Source organism: Homo sapiens, chromosome 6, assembly GCF_000001405.40.
Source record: "Homo sapiens chromosome 6, GRCh38.p14 Primary Assembly".
Taxonomy (NCBI): domain Eukaryota; kingdom Metazoa; phylum Chordata; class Mammalia; order Primates; family Hominidae; genus Homo; species Homo sapiens.
Genome location: NC_000006.12, coordinates 3,081,796 through 3,102,342, shown reverse-complemented (window position 1 = coordinate 3,102,342; position 20,547 = coordinate 3,081,796). Strand labels below are relative to the sequence as shown.

At 45.5% G+C, this 20,547-nt stretch overlaps 1 protein-coding gene and 1 pseudogene across 15 annotated transcripts in view; one reads left to right on the top strand and one right to left on the bottom strand.

The window, feature by feature from the left end:
* The window catches only part of RIPK1 (receptor interacting serine/threonine kinase 1), a 51,221-nt gene that overhangs the window by 12,845 nt on the left and 17,829 nt on the right, over positions 1–20,547 (bottom strand). For 7 of the 15 annotated variants that reach the window (XM_047419447.1, XM_047419448.1, NM_003804.6 and 4 more), the window contains 3 exons: positions 19,030–19,258; positions 16,935–17,084; positions 12,686–12,762 (listed from right to left, as the gene is read on the bottom strand). In XM_047419447.1, coding sequence (XP_047275403.1) covers positions 12,686–12,762; positions 16,935–17,084; positions 19,030–19,258 — 456 coding nt within the window. Of the gene's footprint in view, positions 1–7,954; positions 9,113–9,670; positions 11,686–12,685; positions 12,763–16,934; positions 17,085–19,029; positions 19,259–19,682; positions 20,409–20,547 lie in introns of those variants that run through there. The other 8 variants (NM_001317061.3, NM_001354932.2, NM_001354934.2 and 5 more) reach the window with 5 other exon arrangements.
* Positions 13,534–13,657, top strand: RNA5SP201 (RNA, 5S ribosomal pseudogene 201; annotated as a pseudogene).

Genomic DNA, 20,547 nt, shown 5'->3' with positions numbered 1-20,547 from the left:
GGTCACTTTATACCATATTTTAATAATTTTGTGCATGAAACAAAGTTTGAGGATACTGAACTATCAGAAAGCAGAGGTGTCAGGTGTGGTATTTTCCACTTGTGGCATCATGCTGGCACTCAAAACGTTTCAGATTTTGGAGGATTTTGAATTTTGGATTTTGGGTTTAGGGATGTTCAACCTGTATATCCATATGATGGAATGTTATTCAGCCATAAAAGGGAATGAAATTCTGATACATGCTATGAAACAGATGAACCTTGAAAACATTATGCTAAGTGAAATATGCCAGACTCCAAAGGAAATACATTGTGTGATCCTTTTGCTAGGAGCTACCTAGAATTCAGAGACAGAAAACAGAATAGAAGCTACCAGGGGCTGGGAGAGGGAGGAATGGGGAGTTACCGTTTAGCAGGTACAGAGTTTCAGTTTGGGATGATAAAAAAGTTCTAGATATAGATAGTGGTAATGGCCGCACAACATTATGAATGTACTTAATGCCACTGGATTGTTCACTTAAAAATGGTTAAAATAGAGAATTTTATGTTAAGTATATTTTGCCACAGTAAAAAACTTTTTCCTTATAGGAGCAATAATCCTCATTATAGAAAACATAGAAAATTATATATTCTTAAAACCTATCCATAGTTTTGCCCTACACCCAAAGATAAAATGTTAACACTTTGGTATTTTTCCTTCAAGTTTTTTTTTTCCTAGTTTTATTTGTATTTTGCTGTTAACGATTGTCTGCTATATAAATAAGTGGTCAAAAATACTAGCTAAATGAATACATGCATGATCTAGGGGAGAATGACAGAGGGTATTAATTATGTTCACACTTTGTAGCATTCTATATATTGTTTTTGTCTCTTTGCATGTTTATTTTTAGAGATCAAATCTGCCTCTGTCGCCCAGGCAGGAGTGCAGTGGCATGGTCATAGCTCACTGAAACCTCCAACTCCTGGGCTCAAGCAATCCTCCCAGCTTGTCCTCCCAAAGAGCTGGGATTACAGGCATGAGCCACCTCACCCAGCTGTATGTTTATTGTTTTTAATTAACATGAAAAGGGTTTTTTGTTGTTTTTTTTCTTGAGACAGAGTCTCACTGTGTCCTCCAGGCTAGAGTGCAGGCTCAACCTCCAGGCTCAAGAGAGCCTGCCACCTCAGCCTCCTGTGTAGCTGGGACAACAGGCATGCGCCACCACGCTTGGCTAATTTTTGTGTTTTTTGTAGAGATCGGTTTTTGCCATGTTGCTGGTTTTGAACTGGCCTCAAGAAATCCACCCACCTCAGCCTCCCAAAGTGCTGAGATTACAGGCACGAGCCACCCTGCTTAGCCTAATATGAAAAGTATTTTTGTTATTTTAATTTTATCAAATTGATTTTCTTTTTATAGTTATTTTTATTACACAAATATGTTAAGTACAAAGTCCTTTTGAAAGATTCAAACAGGCCAGACATGGTGGCTCACGCCTGTAATCCCAGCACTCTAGGAGGCCGAGGCGAGCAGATCGCTTGAGGTCAGGAGTTCAAGACCAGCCTGGCCAACATGGTGAAACCCCATCTCTACTAAAAGTACAAAAAAATTAGCTGGGTGTGGTGGTACACGCCTGTAATCCCAGCTACTCGGGAGGCTGAGGCACGAGAATCACTTGAACCCGGGAGGTGGAGGTTGTAGTGAGCCCAGATTGTGTCACTGCACTCCAGCCTGGGTGACAGAGTAAGACCGTCTCAAAAAGAAAACCAAAAAAACCCCCAAAGATTCAAACAATGCAGAATCACATAGAATAACATCCAAACATTCCTTCAGCACCTACTCTTCCATTCTCTAGAGGTAAGCCTTATCCAGAGTGTGATGCATATCACTCTTATTCTCTCTCTAGGAATTTGCACACACATTCCAGAAATATATATATATTTGAGACACAGTTTCACTCTGTTGCCCAGGATGGAGTGTAGTGGCACAATCTTGGCTCACTGCAACCTCCACCTCCCGGGTTCAAGCAATTCTCATGCCTCAGCCTCCTGAGTAGCTGGGATTATGGACATGCACCACCATACCTGGCCAGTTTTTTTTGTATTATTAGTAGAGACGGGGTTTTACCATGTTGGCCAGCTGGTCTCCAACTCCTCACCTCAAGTGATCTGTACAACTCCGCCTCCCATAGTGCTGGAATTACAGGCATGAGCCACTGCACCAGGCCAAAATATATATATCTTTAACATTAAAAGGACCACACTGTAAGTATTGTTTTGTGACTTATTTTTTTCACTAACAGCTAATCTTGAAGATCTTTCTATATCATTACATGTTAGTTTCCACCTCTTTCTTTTAAATGGCTATTAGTATTCTGTAGTTTAGATGAATCATAATTTAGGGCAGTTACTTATGGACATTTGAGTTGTTTCTAATTTTTCACTCTTATAAACTAAGGTGCAAAGAATGGAAACTACATCTTTGAGTGCACGTGAGCAGTATAGATTACTGAGAGTAGAACTGCAGCCAAACTTATGGGCTTGTGGAGTTTGTTGGGTGCCTCACCTTCTAATAAACTTCGCCACTCTTACCAACACTGCAGAAGACTGCTTGTTATTCTGCATTTTCACCAACACACTGTATCACTAATCTTTCAAAAATTTCAATCTAATGGATGAAAAATTGTAACGGGTTCATTTTGCCTTTCTCTGTTGGCGAGGCCAAATATCTTTTCTGAAGTATGTTGTTCAGTTTCTTTTTTGAATTGTCTATGTTCTTTGTCTATTATTTTTCTTTTATTTTGGTTTTTTTGTTTGTTTTTTTGAGACGGAGTCTCACTTTGTCACCCAGGCTGGAGTGCAGTGGCTCCATCTCGGCTCACTGCAAGCTCCGCCTCCTGGGTTCACACCATTCTCCTGCCTCAGCCTCCCAAGTAGCTGGGACTGCAGGTGCCTGCCACCACGCCTGGCTAATTTTTTGTATTTTTAGTAGAGATGGGGTTTCACCATGTTAGCCAGGATGGTCTCGATCTCCTGATCTCGTGATCCACCAGCCTCGGCCTCCCAAAGTGCTGGGATTACAGGCGTCAGCCACCGCACCCGGCCTATTTTTGTTTTTTATTTGTAGGCACTCTATTAAATATCCTGGATATTAATCCTTTGCTAAACACAATTTCTCCTTTTTGACTACCTTTCCATTTTCATGAAGTCATATACAATAATCTTTTTCTTTATACCTTGCGAATTTTGTGTGTGGCTTAAGAAACATACATGGATTGATTTTGGACTTTGTGGTAGACACAGTGATGGGCCTCTCAGATTCCCCCTCAAGGAGGGATTTGCTGCCCTGTTGCAAGGAGCTGAGTGAACAAACAGCCTGCAGCTGTGAACTCCTTTGCCCCAGGTACTCCCCTTCTGAGCCAGTGACTGAGAAAGGCGAGGGGATAAAGCCTTGGCCATTTCAGTCTGACGTGGGACAAGCCTGAGGGGCATTTGCTCAGTGCTCCCGGCTGCCAGAGCTGTCAGGCTTCGTTGCCTTCTGACTTCTTCCTCTGCTCATTCCTGCTTCCCACTCCTTCCTTGCACCCCAATCTCCAACTCAGTGGCTGCTTCTGGAAAACCCAACCTGCAAAGACTCACCTTTTCTATTAATCTATTTGATTATCCTTGCTGTAGTCTACACTGTTCTGATCTCCTCCTTCAGAATTTTCTTAGCTATCTTTGTACATTTTGTGTAACTTAAGAGTCAGCTTGTTGAATTCCATAAAGAATTTGGTTGTGCTTTTAATTAGGATTGCACTCCTTTTATAAATCATGTTGGGGAGAATAGACAGCTTTAGTATGTCAAGTCTTTCCATCCATAAACACATTTCACTGTTTATTTGGATTTATTTCATGTTGTTTAGAAAAGCCTTGCCATATTTGCCAATGTTTAGACACATATTATCTTATTGTGGTTTTAATTTGCATTTCTCTAATTACCAGTAAAGTTGTGCACTTTTTTGGTGTATTTATTCTCTTTGGTGAAGTGCCCATTCAGCTATTTCATCCCTGTTTTAACTGGGTTGCATATCTTTTCCTTTCCGATTTATACAATTTCTCTAGATTTTATGTATTCAAGTCCTTTGTCAGTTATGTGTGTGTTGCACTTCTCCCATTCTGTGACTGGTTTATTTATTTATTTATTTATTGGAGATGGGGTCTCATTCAGTAACCCAGGCTGGAGCGCAATGGCGCAGCCTCCTGGGCCCAAGCAGTCATCTCATCTCAGCCTCCTGAGTAGCTGGGACCGAAAGTGGGCACCACCACGCCCAGCTAATTTCTTAATTATTATTTGTAAAGAGGAGGTCTCACTATGTTGCCCAGGCTAGTCTCAAACTCCTGGCCTCAAGCGATCCTCCCACCTCAGCCTCCCAAAGTGCTGGGATTACAGGCATGAGCCACCATGCCCTGCCTCCATTCTCTTAATGGTTTATTTTGATGAATAAAAGTTTTAAAATGAATGTATACATTCATTTAAAAATCTTCTAAATTTATAAATGTATAAATTTATTTATAAATAATTTATAGAATTTTACAATGAATTCGTTTATAAATTCGTTTTAAACATTCATTTAAAATTTTATAAATTTTAAAATTTATCAGTTCTTACCACTACAGCTAATGCTTTTGTATACTGTTGAGGATCCCCTACCCTGAGGATATGGACAAATTCTCCTATATTTTCCAATAGCTTTATAATTTTATCTTTCACATTTCTGTCAGTAATCAACCTGGAGCTGATTTTTTGGTATGGTGTAAGGTAGAAGCCCAATTTCATTTCTGTACCATGTGGATACCCAGTTGTCTCAGCACCATTTACTGAAAAGACTGTCACTTCCCCACTGCTCTACAGTGCCATCTCTGTGAAAATCAAGTTTCTAGGTATGTGTAGATCTATGGGTTTTCAACTCCATTCCAACAGTATCTGTCCAACCTACACCAATACCACTGTCTTTTTAATATAGCTTTATAATAATTCTTGACAAGAATCTGATAAGGCAAACCCTTCACTACTAGTCTTGTCCTTCTTCAAGGGCATCCTGGCTGATCTTATTCTCTTCTTTACCTTTTCATATGGATTTCAGAGTAGGTTTGTCAAGTTCCACTCCTCACACCCACTTGCCACACACACACAAAACTAAAAGGTTGAGATATAGGCTGGGCGTGGTGGCTCACACCTGTAATCCCAGCCCTTTGGGAGGCCAAGGCAGGCGGACCATTTGAGGTCAGGAGTTTGAGACCAGCCTGGCCAACATAGTGAAACCCCATGTCTACTAAAAATACAAAAATTAGCCGGGCATGGTGGCGCACGCTTTTAATCCCAGCTACTCGGGAGGCTGAGGTAGGAGAATTGCTTGAACGCGGGAGGCAGAGGTTTCAGTGAGCCGAGATTGCGCCTCTGAACTCCAGCGTGGGCAACAGAGCAAGACTCTGTCTCAAAAACAAAACAAAACAAAACAAAATACTTGGCTGGGCACGGTGCCTCACACCTGTAATCCCAGCACTCTGGGAGGCTGAGACGGGCAGATCACGAGGTCGGGAGATCGAGACCATCTTAGCTGACACGGTGAAACACCGTCTCTATTAAAAAAAAAAAAAATTCGCTGGGTGTGGTGGTGGGCGCCTGTAGTCCCAGCTACTCAGGAGACTGAGGCAGGAGAATTGTATGAACCCAGGAGGCAGAGCTTGCAGTGAGCCGAGATCATGCCACTGCACTCCAGCCTGGGAGACAGAGCGAGACTCTGTCTCAAAAAAAAAAAAAAAAAAAAAAAAAAACTTGAGATATTGGTTGAGATTGCATTGATTCTATAGATCAATTTGAGAAGAGCTGACATCTTCGTACTATGGTGACTTCCGAATCACAAAGTAAATGGTATATTTCTTCACTTACTTTGGTCTTATGTCTCTCAATTAAGGTTATACTTTTAGAGTTACTACATACCTTTTGTAAGATTTATTTTTATATATTGATTTTTATAACTAAACTATTATTAATTTAAAAGATACTTTTGAGTTTTTCTATGTACACATCCTATAACCTATGAACAGTTTTGTTTCTTCTTTTCCAATCCTATATCTCTTCTTTCTTTTTCTTGCTCTACTAAAATAGCTAGGGCCTCCAGTACCAGGCTGACCAGAAATAGGGGTGGTAAGTAGCTTGGTCTTGCATATTATTTCAGAGAAAGGTGGGCTGGACACAGTGGCTCATGCCTTGTAATTCCAGCACTTTGGGAAGCTGAAGAGGGCAGATGGCTTGAGCTCATGAGTTTGAGACCAGCCTGGGCAACATGGCAAAATCCTGTCTCTACAAAAAATACAAATTAGCCAGGCATGGTGGTGCATGCCTGTGGTCCCTCAGGGGGCTGAGGTGAGAGGATTGCTTCGGCCTGGGAGGTCAAGGATACAGTAAGCCGTGATCACGCCACTGCACTCCAGCCTAGGCAACAGAGTAAGACCTTGCCTCAAAAAAAAAAAAAAAAGGCTGTTAACATTTTGTTAAAATAAGTACAAAACTTCTGTTCGTTTCAAGATACCTTATTATCAGAAAAGGAATTTCTTTTCTGACTTGCTAGCATTTTTAATCATGAATAAACATTACATTTTATCAACAGATTTATCTGCATCTATTGAAAAGATATATCTTTTTCTCATTTAAGAAGACAATGTAATAAATTATAATGACAGATTTTCATAAAGTTAAACTAACTTTGCATTCTTGGCAGAAACCGAATTTTGCGTTTGTTCTTTGATGAATTGAGTTTGTTTATAGTATTTTATTTAGAACTTTTGCATCTATACTGTTAAACAAGATTGGTCTGTAATTTTCCTTTCTTGTACCTTATTTTCCAGTTTTGGGAATCAAGGTTATGCTTACACAAAGTGAATCTGGAAGAGTTCTCTCTTCTCTATTATCTAGAGAAAACTGTATAAGATTGACATAATTTCTTCATTGAATATTTGGCAGAAATCATTGATGAAGCTCTCTGTGGGGTTTTCTCTATAGGAAGTTTTCTTTTTTTATCACTGCTTCTTTTAATAGTTACAGGAATATTCTAAGTTTCTATCTCTATTTGAGTTAGCTTTGCTAAATTGAACTTTTTAAAGACATTGGTCCATTTTACCTAAATTTTAAAATAATTAACAAAAAGTTGTTCATAATATTCTCTTAATAACATTTGATGTCTGCAGGACCTATAGTGATTCCTCCTTATTCATGGATTTCAATCTTGTCTCCTTTTTTGTCAGTCTTTTTTTTCTTTTTTTTCTCAGAAGTAGGGTCTCACTCTGTTGCCCAGGTTGGAGTGCAGCGGCATGATCATAGCTTACTCCAGCCTCAAACTCCTGGGCTCAAGCAGTCCTCCCATCTCAGCCTTCATGGGACTACTGGCACATGCCACCATGTCTCATTAATTTTTTATTTTATTTTTTTAGAGATGGGGTCTCACTGTGTGGCCTAGGCTGGTCTCAAACTCCTGGCCTCAAACGATCCTCTCACCCCAGCCACCCAAGTAACTGGGATTACCTCACACCTGGCTCTATCAGTCTTAATTAGTCTATTGTATTAGCCTTTCGAATAACCAATATTTGGATTTTTTGATCCGCTGTTAGTTACTTTCTGCGGCATTAATTTATGCTCTTTTCCTTATTATTTACTTCTTTTTTCTCTAGGTTTATTTGCTATCTTCTTCAGATAATGTTTGGCTAATTAATTTTCAGCCTTTCTTCATATATATATATATATATATGAAATATTTATTTATTTAAGGTTATATTAAGTACTCCTTTGCAAAGTGCATTTTATAATTTTAATATGTAGTGTTTTGTTAGCCTTCAGTGAAAAATATTTTCTAAATACCATTGTGATTTATTTTTTTTGATCCAAGGGATATTTAAAAGTATATTTCGTTACTTCTAACCACATAAGATTTTCCAATTACCTTTTTAAAATTAATTTTGAACATAATTGAAATATACTCAGAGGACATTTTTATGATTACAATCCTTTTAAATTGAGACTTATTTGATTTCCCAGCACATGGTCAGTTTTTGAAAATGCTCTGTATGTTCTTGAAAAGCCTTTAAAGGTAGGTGCACTGCAGTTACTAGGTGCAGCAGGTAGGTACTCTGCAGTTACTAGGTGCAGCAGGTAGGTACGCTACAGTTACTAGGTGCGGCAGGTAGGTACTCTGCAGTTACTAGGTGCGGCAGGTAGGTACTCTGCAGTTACTAGGTGCAGGAGGTAGGCGCGCTGCAGTTACTAGGTGCGGCAGGTAGGCGCGCTGCAGTTACTAGGTGCGGCAGGTAGGCGCGCTGCAGTTACTAGGTGCGGCAGGTAGGCGCTCTGCAGTTACTAGGTGCGGCAGGTAGGCGCGCTGCGGTTACTAGGTGCGGCAGGTAGGCGCGCTGCGGTTACTAGGTGCGGCAGGTAGGCGCGCTGCGGTTACTAGGTGCGGCAGGTAGGCGCGCTGCGGTTACTAGGTGCGGCAGGTAGGCGCGCTGCGGTTACTAGGTGCGGCAGGTAGGCGCGCTGCGGTTACTAGGTGCGGCAGGTAGGCGCGCTGCGGTTACTAGGTGCGGCAGGTAGGCGCGCTGCGGTTACTAGGTGCGGCAGGTAGGCGCGCTGCGGTTACTAGGTGCGGCAGGTAGGCGCGCTGCGGTTACTAGGTGCGGCAGGTAGGCGCGCTGCGGTTACTAGGTGCGGCAGGTAGGCGCGCTGCGGTTACTAGGTGCGGCAGGTAGGCGCTCTGCGGTTACTAGGTGCGGCAGGTAGGCGCTCTGCGGTTACTAGGTGCGGCAGGTAGGCGCTCTGCGGTTACTAGGTGCGGCAGGTAGGCGCTCTGCGGTTACTAGGTGCGGCAGGTAGGCGCTCTGCGGTTACTAGGTGCGGCAGGTAGGCGCTCTGCGGTTCCTAGGTGCGGCAGGTAGGCGCTCTGCGGTTACTAGGTGCGGCAGGTAGGCGCTCTGCGGTTCCTAGGTGCGGCAGGTAGGCGCTCTGCGGTTACTAGGTGCGGCAGGTAGGCGCTCTGCGGTTCCTAGGTGCGGCAGGTAGGCGCTCTGCGGTTCCTAGGTGCGGCAGGTAGGCGCTCTGCGGTTCCGAGGTGCGGCAGGTAGGCGCTCTGCGGTTACTAGGTGCGGCAGGTAGGCGCGCTGCGGTTACTAGGTGCGGCAGGTAGGCGCGCTGCGGTTACTAGGTGCGGCAGGTAGGCGCGCTGCGGTTACTAGGTGCGGCAGGTAGGCGCGCTGCGGTTACTAGGTGCGGCAGGTAGGCGCGCTGCGGTTACTAGGTGCGGCAGGTAGGCGCGCTGCGGTTACTAGGTGCGGCAGGTAGGCGCGCTGCGGTTACTAGGTGCGGCAGGTAGGCGCGCTGCGGTTACTAGGTGCGGCAGGTAGGCGCGCTGCGGTTACTAGGTGCGGCAGGTAGGCGCGCTGCGGTTACTAGGTGCGGCAGGTAGGCGCGCTGCGGTTACTAGGTGCGGCAGGTAGGCGCGCTGCGGTTACTAGGTGCGGCAGGTAGGCGCGCTGCGGTTACTAGGTGCGGCAGGTAGGCGCTCTGCGGTTACTAGGTGCGGCAGGTAGGCGCTCTGCGGTTACTAGGTGCGGCAGGTAGGCGCTCTGCGGTTACTAGGTGCGGCAGGTAGGCGCTCTGCGGTTACTAGGTGCGGCAGGTAGGCGCTCTGCGGTTACTAGGTGCGGCAGGTAGGCGCGCTGCGGTTACTAGGTGCGGCAGGTAGGCGCGCTGCGGTTCCGAGGTGCGGCAGGTAGGCGCGCTGCGGTTCCGAGGTGCGGCAGGTAGGCGCGCTGCGGTTCCGAGGTGCGGCAGGTAGGCGCGCTGCGGTTCCGAGGTGCGGCAGGTAGGCGCGCTGCGGTTCCGAGGTGCGGCAGGTAGGCGCTCTGCGGTTCCGAGGTGCGGCAGGTAGGCGCTCTGCGGTTCCGAGGTGCGGCAGGTAGGCGCTCTGCGGTTCCGAGGTGCGGCAGGTAGGCGCTCTGCGGTTCCGAGGTGCGGCAGGTAGGCGCTCTGCGGTTCCGAGGTGCGGCAGGTAGGCGCTCTGCGGTTCCGAGGTGCGGCAGGTAGGCGCTCTGCGGTTCCGAGGTGCGGCAGGTAGGCGCTCTGCGGTTACTAGGTGCGGCAGGTAGGCGCGCTGCGGTTACTAGGTGCGGCAGGTAGGCGCGCTGCGGTTACTAGGTGCGGCAGGTAGGCGCGCTGCGGTTACTAGGTGCGGCAGGTAGGCGCGCTGCGGTTACTAGGTGCGGCAGGTAGGCGCGCTGCGGTTACTAGGTGCGGCAGGTAGGCGCTCTGCGGTTACTAGGTGCGGCAGGTAGGCGCTCTGCGGTTACTAGGTGCGGCAGGTAGGCGCTCTGCGGTTACTAGGTGCGGCAGGTAGGCGCTCTGCGGTTACTAGGTGCGGCAGGTAGGCGCGCTGCGGTTACTAGGTGCGGCAGGTAGGCGCGCTGCGGTTACTAGGTGCGGCAGGTAGGCGCTCTGCGGTTACTAGGTGCGGCAGGTAGGCGCGCTGCGGTTACTAGGTGCGGCAGGTAGGCGCGCTGCGGTTACTAGGTGCGGCAGGTAGGCGCGCTGCGGTTACTAGGTGCGGCAGGTAGGCGCGCTGCGGTTACTAGGTGCGGCAGGTAGGCGCGCTGCGGTTACTAGGTGCGGCAGGTAGGCGCGCTGCGGTTACTAGGTGCGGCAGGTAGGCGCTCTGCGGTTACTAGGTGCGGCAGGTAGGCGCTCTGCGGTTACTAGGTGCGGCAGGTAGGCGCTCTGCGGTTACTAGGTGCGGCAGGTAGGCGCTCTGCGGTTACTAGGTGCGGCAGGTAGGCGCGCTGCGGTTACTAGGTGCGGCAGGTAGGCGCGCTGCGGTTACTAGGTGCGGCAGGTAGGCGCGCTGCGGTTACTAGGTGCGGCAGGTAGGCGCGCTGCGGTTACTAGGTGCGGCAGGTAGGCGCGCTGCGGTTACTAGGTGCGGCAGGTAGGCGCGCTGCGGTTACTAGGTGCGGCAGGTAGGCGCGCTGCGGTTACTAGGTGCGGCAGGTAGGCGCGCTGCGGTTACTAGGTGCGGCAGGTAGGTACTCTGCGGTTACTAGGTGCGGCAGGTAGGCGCGCTGCGGTTACTAGGTGCGGCAGGTAGGCGCTCTGCGGTTACTAGGTGCGGCAGGTAGGCGCTCTGCGGTTACTAGGTGCGGCAGGTAGGCGCTCTGCGGTTACTAGGTGCGGCAGGTAGGCGCTCTGCGGTTACTAGGTGCGGCAGGTAGGCGCGCTGCGGTTACTAGGTGCGGCAGGTAGGCGCGCTGCGGTTACTAGGTGCGGCAGGTAGGCGCGCTGCGGTTACTAGGTGCGGCAGGTAGGCGCGCTGCGGTTACTAGGTGCGGCAGGTAGGCGCGCTGCGGTTACTAGGTGCGGCAGGTAGGCGCGCTGCGGTTACTAGGTGCGGCAGGTAGGCGCGCTGCGGTTACTAGGTGCGGCAGGTAGGTACTCTGCGGTTACTAGGTGCGGCAGGTAGGTGCGCTGCGGTTACTAGGTGCGGCAGGTAGGCGCTCTGCGGTTACTAGGTGCGGCAGGTAGGTGCGCTGCGGTTATTAGGTGCAGCGTATCCTGTGTTTCCGTTACGTCAAGTGTGTTCGTCATGTTCTTTCTGTCTTCTATATCCTTACTGATTTTTGTTTGCTCGTTCTATCAATTGAAGAGAGATGTGTATTAAAATCTTCAGTTTTAATTGTGGATTTGTCTGTTTTTCTTTGAGTTCTGTCACTTTTGGCTGGTTGATTTTGAGGTCATGTTATTGAAGGTGGATCCACATTTAAAGCGGTTATACTTTCCAGATGAATTGGGCCTTTTATCATTATGAAATATTCCTGATTGTTTGAGGGAATGATTTTTTGCCTTAGAGTTTATCTTAGCTGATTCTAATCTCTTTTTTAAATTATATTTTAAAGTCTCTGCCTGTTTTATTTGTCGTAGTCTCCTGTTCATGATTATGGGGTAGGTTGCTGGAAGATGGATGGCAGTAGCTTGATTCCAGAGTTGGCAGGGGGGCGGGGTGGTCTCCATTCCTCTTAGTTGATTGGTTCCTAACTGGGCCTTGTCATGCCCCTCTAACCCCAGAAACCACCTCCTTGCTTCAGTCTTGGGCAGATGCTGCTGCCATCTGTTGCTAAGTACAGGGGAAGGAGGGAGAGAAGCCGACTTTCCTAAATAGCATAAATGAGGTTCTCAGATGACTCCCCTGTCAACATCCCAGGTGACTGTGCTGTTGCTTCTGCACACTGACCCAAGACTGCCCCTCCGGTACTTCTTCCTCAGCATTATGTCTTGGGCTAGTATTCCTTGTCTGTTATATGTCTCAGCAGAATAATTCTGTGGTCTTTCTATCTTTCAAGAATTCCTCAAAATGGCTGATCCACTTATGGTACTTTCCAATCTTTGCCAGTGACATTGTGCTTTTGTTTTCATATTGCTATATATGTTTTCTCTCATTTCATGAGTTTTGAAGGAGAAATGGGTCCAGTATGCCAACAGGATGATATGTGCAGACAATTGCTCATTTTGTTTTATATGTTTACCAAGCTAGCTTACCTCAAATCTCAATAACAAATCACTTTGTTTTGGTTTTCATGATTGACAGTATATATTTTGCTATGTTAATATTTTGAGCATCTGCTATATTGCCTACCTTTAAACTCTTCACGTCCTCTTCTACACTTTCTTCTAATTGACTTAAATAAAAAGGCCTAAATTTTTCTTCAATGCCTGTAAAAGTAAAATGTACTTTAAATTTCTTAATTATTTTCTAACATAAAATAAAAATATTAGCCATCTATTATCTTTGAATTACTTACCTCAATCTGTGGGCAAAGCTTAAATAAAAATTTAAGCTCCAAATCACTGACTCTGATAGAGACTAATAAGATTAATAGACAGAACAAGGGATAGGCTAACACAGGAAACCAGGGGTTTCTGCCTCAATAGCCTGTGCTCTTTGTGCTTTTTATTCGTGCTGCAGTTTCTCTGGCTGCAACACAAACTGCTCCCTGATGTGAGTTCATCTCCAGCTGAACAGGGATGGGCGAACTCCATGTTTCTGTTCCTCTGGCATCAAATTTATGAGAGATTGGGATAGTCAGAGGAAGGATTTAGTGTAATGGGTTACAGCTGTTAGCCTTAAAAGAAAAAAGAAACTTCCAGTTCCAGGAAGATGGAGTGGACATACTTTTTTCTTAATCTTCCTTCTAAGTACAACAAAAACATCCTATATATTATTTATAAAACAAACATACAGAGTCTCTGAAAGGAGAAGAGAAGGAGGCAGACCAGCAGGAAACCTCGGGATCAGATGAAACACACGATAGTGAGTTCACTGGATTTTCTCTTTTCCTCATATATCTCAGACTTGGCTGAAAAGGTGGCAACCTCAAACCATCAAGAGCCACAGATAAAAAAAAATCTCCAACTAAAGCCTGCTCTTTCTAGCCAAAGAACTAAGCAAGGGGCAGCAAGGGACAGACAGAAAACCTTTAGCCAGTCTACAGCCATGCCATCCTGAATATGCCCAAACTTGTCTGATCTTGGAAGTTAGGCAGGGTCAGGTCTGGTTAGTACTTGGATAGGAGAAAACTTTTAGTCAGCAACCACTCTGTTCCAGCCAACCACCACAGAAAAAACCCTGTGGCTCCAACCCCACCCACAGCAGCTAAGGCCAAGTGGAGAGCCTCAACATCCAACCGCATGAGACAGTAACAACGTAACCCAACACCCCCACCGGGGTAATGTCAGAGAAGGCCCAACAGGAAGCCAGGGCTGTCCTACCTGCCAGCTGATAATGAGCGCCTCCACTCCCATGGTGTCAGGAGAACACAAGAATAGCCTGGATTTGCCCCACATGGCAGTAACAAGACCACCCTTCCCTTCCCCACTGGGGAAGTGTCAGAGGAGGTCTAGTGGAGAATCGGGACTTTTAACATTGTCCAGTAGTAATGAGGTACCTTCACCTCTGTGTCAGTGGGGACCGTGTGGACTCTGCCAGAATTCCCACCCCTGATCAGCAGTGAAGAGGAGCCTCTGACCTTAGGTGTCAATAAGGGCTGAGTCGAGAGGCTGAACTTCTACCTCTACCCAGCACTAATAAGGTGGCCACCACTCTTCCCTTGTCAGAGCAGTGTCAGGAAAGTTCAGTTAAAACAGAAGGCTTAAAGAGGATACAGAATCTCCAAACATAGGAAGAAAATGTACAAGTTTCAACAGAAAAATTACCCATTACATTAAGAATCAGAAACTGAATGAAATAAGACAATCAATAGATGCCAATACTGAGATGACAGCAATGTCAGAATTACCTGTCAAGGATTTTAAAACAGCCATGATAAAAACGATTCAATTAATAGTTATGAACCTGCTTGAAACAAATGAAAAATAGAAAGTCTCAGCAAAAAAGGGGAGAATATAAATTTTAGAGCTGAAAACTTTAATGACCAAAACATAATAAAAAGCTCGGTAGGCCGGACACAGTGGCTCACACCTGTAATCCCACACTTTGGGAGGCCGAGGCGGGCTGATCACAAGGTCAGGAGATGGAGACCATCCTGGCTAACACGGTGAAACCCCGTCTCTACTAAAAATACAAAAAATTAGCCAGGTGTGGTGGCGGGTGTCTGTAGTCCCAGCTACTCGGGAGGCTGAGGCAGGAAAATGGCGTGAACCCAGGAGGCAGAGCTTGCGCCACTGCACTCCAACCTGGGCGACAGAGTGAGAGTCCGTGTCAAAAAAAAAAAAAAGCTCAGTAGACAGGTTCAACTGTGGAATCGAGGAGAAACAGAAAAATCAGTGAACTGGAAGACAGAATGATAGAACTTACCCAGTCTGAATAAGAGAGAGAAAATTAACTGAAAAAAACAAACAAAAACAAAAAAAACAAAAAAAACACAAAGCCTCAGGGACCTGTGGGACTATAACCATAACCAAAGATATAGTTTTTATGTTGTCAGAATTCCAGAAAGAAAAGAGAAAGAGGGTGGGGGTTAAAAAGTACTTACAGAAATAATGGCTGAAAGCTCCCCAAATATGGTTTAAGAGGCATAAACCTACAGATTTAAGAAGCTGAGCAAAACCTAAACAGAATAAACCCAAAGGAATCCACACCAAGATAAATAACAACTAAATCTCTGAAAAATAAAGACAAAGTCTTGAAAGCAGCAAGAGAAAAATAACACCTTCCCTATAAGGAAAAAAATTTTAGAATGACAGAGTTCAGACATATCCTAAAAGAATGATTAAGGAAAGTTCTCTAAACAGAAAGGAAACAATAAAAGAAGACACCTTGGAGAATCAGGAAGGTTTGATTTTGTTCATGGCAGGTAGCACCTAAAATCCTTGGAGTCTTCTAAGAGTGTCTTTTGGGTGGGGTCAGAAAACTAGGCAACTTCAGAATGGGGGCTAGCAACCAGAAAGACCAAGCTATAATTAGAAGGTTGGGACTTTCAGCTCCACCTTTGACTTCCAGTGAGGAGAGAGGGACTGGAGATTAAGCTCAAGCACCAATGACCATGATTTAGTCAGTCATGCGTATGTAATGGAACTTCCATAAATCACCTTAAACGGTGAGGCTTGGAGAGCTTGAGGTTGCTGAACACACAGAAGCACTGGAATGCGGTGTGTCTTGAAAGGCTATGGAAGTTCTATACACCCTCCTCCCATACCTCACCTTGTACATCTCTTCCATTTGGCTGTTTCTGAATTGTACCCACTGCAGTAAAAGGGGAGACGTAAGTAAAATGTTTTCTTGAGTTATGTGAGTCTTTCTAACGAATTACCAAACCTGAAGTGGGGCTTGTGGGAATACTCAAATAAATTTGTAGCTGACTAAGCAGAAGTGTGAGGAGCCTGGGTACCCCATGCTGGTGAGGATACAAGAACCTGCATCACTCGGACACCGAACATAAAATGGCACAGCCCCTCTGGGAAAATGTTAGGGAATTTTTAAAATAAACTGTACATGAAACTACCATACAACCTAGCTATTGTACCCCTGGGTATTACTCCAGAGAAATGAAGACTTATATTCACACAAAAACATGTCCACGAATATTTACAGCTGCATTAGTCCCAACAGTTAAGAACTGGAAACAAGTCTTTCAAGGAGTGAGTAGTTAACCAAACCGTGGTACATCCACACCATAGAATACTGCTCAGCAAACATCCCGGCACCTTTCCTCATCCCTGTATGACAAGGCCAATCTAGACGGCAAAATACTTTCTAAAGATGCCAGCTAAACAAGGGAGGGGATGGAAATAAAAGAAGTGAAGAAGCAAGAAGGCTGGTCAAAGCCACCTAAGTGCCCATAGACGGACGAATGGATAAACAAAATGCACTCCATTCATACAATGGAATATTATTCAGCCTTGAAAAGGAAAGAAATTCTGACATATGCTACAACACAGATGAACCTCGAGGACATCATGCCAAGTGGAGTAAGCCAGACACAAAAGGACAAATACTGTATGATTCCACTTATATATAAGGCACCCAGTGCAGTTAAATTCACAGAGACAGAAAGTAGGATAGGGGCTGCCAGGGGCAGGGAGAGAGACGATGGAAAGTGAATGTACTATGGGACTGTACTTACTGCCCCTGAACAGTGCACTTGAAAACAGTTACAATGTTAAATTTCATGTTACGTATATTTAAACCCAAGTTAAAAAGTTAATTACAAAAAAAGGAAACAAGAAGGCCTTATGTGCCATCATGCTTTTGAGAGAGAGGGCTTCTTTGCACTGAATAACATGTTTGAAATCTAGAAAATCAGTTTAAAACCACAAGTCAAGTCGAACTCAGTTTTCTGAGGATTCAAACCAAGTTCCTAACAATATGTTACTAGGAAAATCACCACACAGGATGCATCCTACACAGTCAGAAAAGATGCTCTTACCAGGAAATGTCGGCCGAGCTTCCGGATTCGCTTCCCAGCAGAGCTTCATGAGACTGATAATTTCTCTTGGGCAGTACTCAGTGATGTCATCCACATCTGGCCTGTTCCCAGATTTTATGCACATTATCAACTGCTGCTCACAGATAGCATCTACAAAGCAAAGACTTTCTTTCAGGTCTTGCTCCTCTCTCAGGCAGGAAGGTGACAGAACTTGAACAATACTGCTCATTTTTCTCAGCCTCTGGTACAGCTGCCTCATTCCATAGAGTGGAATGGCCTTATGACAAGGAGCTGACATATTCCACTACAGAGATGACCAAACAATATCTTAATGTCTGCAGATAAAACAAAATTCTCGACAAAGCTGCCTGCTGATGGAACAAAAAGATTATGTGGGCAAGGCCAATGGCATGCTCCATGTGCAAAAGCAAATACAGGGCAGTCCTTGTCTTTAGGAGCTCAGTTTAATGAGAGTGACTTAAAACACAGAGTGATCATTGCTATTCAAGAAGGCTGAGGCTGGGCATGGTGGATCACACCTGTAATCCCAGCACTTTGGGAGGTTGAGACAGGCGGATCATGACGTCAAGAGATCAAGACCATCCTGGCCAACATGGTGAAACCCCGTCTCTACTAAAAATATAAAAATTAGCTGGGCATGGTGGTGTGCACCTGTAGTCCCAGCTACTCGGGAGGCTGAGGCAGAAGAATTGCTTGAACCTGGGAGGTGGAGGCTGCAGTGAGCCGAGACTGCACCACTGCACTCCAACCTGGCGACAGAATGAGACTCTGTCTCACGGGAAAAAAAAAAAAAAAAGGATGTACAAGGGGTTCCAGTAGCACAAACCTGACTAAAAAGGTCCAGGAAGGCTTTGTTGAGTCCAGAAAAATTAGCAGGTAAAGAATGGGAAAGGGAGACTTAAGGAGGAGGACTCCAGGAAGAGAAGCAGGATATCAACAGACTAGAAGTTACAGAGATCATGACGCATCCCACAAATTCCTCAGTGTAACTGCACACTGACAAAGAAGGGAGGGTTAGGGACGAGGCCAGTAGAGAAGCAAAGGCCAGAACATGAAGGCCTTTTATTCCACGCTGAGGAATTCGAACTTCATCCTGAAGACCACAGAGCATCTGGGAAGGATTTCCAATATGTGAGGGAGAGGGTTGCATGTGCCTTTTAGGACGACCATTTTGGCTGCCACATGAATGGTGGACGGTGGAAGGAGCCTGCTGCAGAAACGAGGAGGGTTTGAACTGAGCAGAGGCCAGTGGAGACAGAGAAAGGCAGATGGGTTGCAGATATATCTTGAGTCATACATATATCTTGAATTCACAGGTTTTGAGATCTGATAGAATGTGGGAGAGAGGGGCAAGGGCGAGTCTGGGATGACTCTGAAGTTTCTTATTGGGCAACAACTTGGTAAAAGGATGGCGATGCCACTTCCCAAGCATATGAAGAGGGGTGAAGCGGGGCGAGCTGCAGGACAGTGTCGACAGGATGTGTTTGGGGGATGCTGCTTTGGAGGTTCCTCTGGTACCTGCGATGGATCTGACTGTAAGACAAGTGGATATCCATTCCAGAGCCAGAGACACAGATTTAAGAAGCATTTGCAAAGAGATGATCATCAAACCATGGGAGCTGATGATCACCCAAGAAGAGTATGTAGGACAACATCCATCAGTTTATGCACTTAACAAACTGCAGAGTGTCTCTATCCTACACAAGCCACGACTTACTCATCTTTATATTCCCAATGCCGACTCAAGTGCCCACAGTAGGGACTGAAAAGAAATAATTCTTGAATGAAGGAGCAAGTGAATGAGTGAAAGTATGAAGTGTATGCCTTGTAGTGTGAAAGGCTAAGTCCTCACAAGCAGAAACAATCAACTTTCCTGTCTAGGAAGAACCCTGGAATTTCACAGCACCTCTCCAGCTAATGACACACTATCGAGGTTCCTATTCATCCTATGATCACTGATTCCTAAATGGGATTACTCATTCATTCAACAAAAATTTACTGGGCACCTATTAGTTCCAGGCACAGTGCGTGTAGATGCTGAGGGGACGGCAGTGGAAAGTAAGTAATGCCTTACTTTCATATGGCTCCTTATTTGCAAATATCGCCCAGAGTACTACAGCAAAGCTGTACACATCCGACTTCTCTGTGGGCTTTGCGTTGACGTCATTCAGGTGCTCGGGCGCCATGTAGTAGAGGGTGCCGCCATTCTTCTTAGCGGTGCCGTCCACTTCCCTCAGCTCATTGTGCTCTTCATTATTCAGTTTGCTCCACATCTTAAAGGAGGCAAGGCCGAGGTCTGCGATCTGCGAAAGACATTGAGCCACTGGGATTGTTTGGTGAAGGCCGTAAGCAAATCAGATCTGACTTTCAATTTTGGGCTTATCCATTATACATAAGGTACGGTAAATTTTCCAGAAATGGTTGCACTGGGCAGGTTCAAAACAGCGACTTCTCAACAGACTCATAGAAACTGTGTGTCTCCTCAGCCATTTGTAAAATGTCGCCCAGGAAACGTTCACATGAAATTCTGGTATCGTATTCCTTATGCAGTAAGGGGGAGGGGAAAAGCGGAAGATGTTTCTGACAAGAACAGTAACAACCAAACATATTTATTCTCATTCCCCATTGACTCTGCGTATGTTTTTCAACTATTTCTAGGGCTTGGGGGGAAAATGGTTATTTTCTTCTCTGCACATTTATGCAGCAGACAGTGGCTAAATACTACACCTTCTATTTCCCCAAATGGCGTCCAGAGGCCCATGGATGCAAGTGTCCAAGGATCCCAAAGACACACTGAGGATAAGGACTGCAGTGTTGCTTGTTTTGAGCTGTAGCCTGAACCTAAGAGGAGATAGGGTGGAAAGGAGGAGAAAAACAGACAAAAAAGCAGAGAGAAAAATAGCAAGGTCAGACACAGAACAAGAACAGTGCTGGCAGGGCAAAATGACAGGGCAGCACAGTTCAGAAGAGAATATAGGTGCCAGTTCCACTTCTGCCTCCAGGAATCCAAGCAAGCATGTGGGGATGAACTGTGGCACATGAGTACCTAAAATTCACAGATTCTAACCCACGACATAAGAGGGAAGTCATGAATTTGAAGATAGGTTATGAATAAGGAATTTTTATTCCCAGCCCTTTGTCCAAGACTAGGACAAAGCGCTAGACGCAGAACCTGCTGGTGATGAGAGGCCCCTGTGTCAGCAGCTCCTGGGTGCCTCCCCCAGGGCTGCTTCCCCTTCCGCTTCCCCTTTTGGATTCTTGTGCTTGGATTCCTGCTGCAGAAGCCAATTAGATATGACACTCCCCCTAGCTAAATCCTGCCCTTGAATGAACAAAAGAAAAATCCCTTTCCCTTGTTCCCTTTACGACAATGGAAAGAATGTGTTCAAAGGAAACTGATTTTTAAAATACAGACAGAAGTAAACAATCGAATACAAATATAAAACAAAATTTCAAAGTAGAGGTTTTTGATGCACTGCTGATTTTTTTTTTTTTTTTTTTTTTTTTTTTTTTTTTTTTTTTTTTTTAAGGCAGAGTTTCGCTCTTGTTGCCCAGGCTGGAGTGCGATGGCACAATCTCGGCTCACCACAAC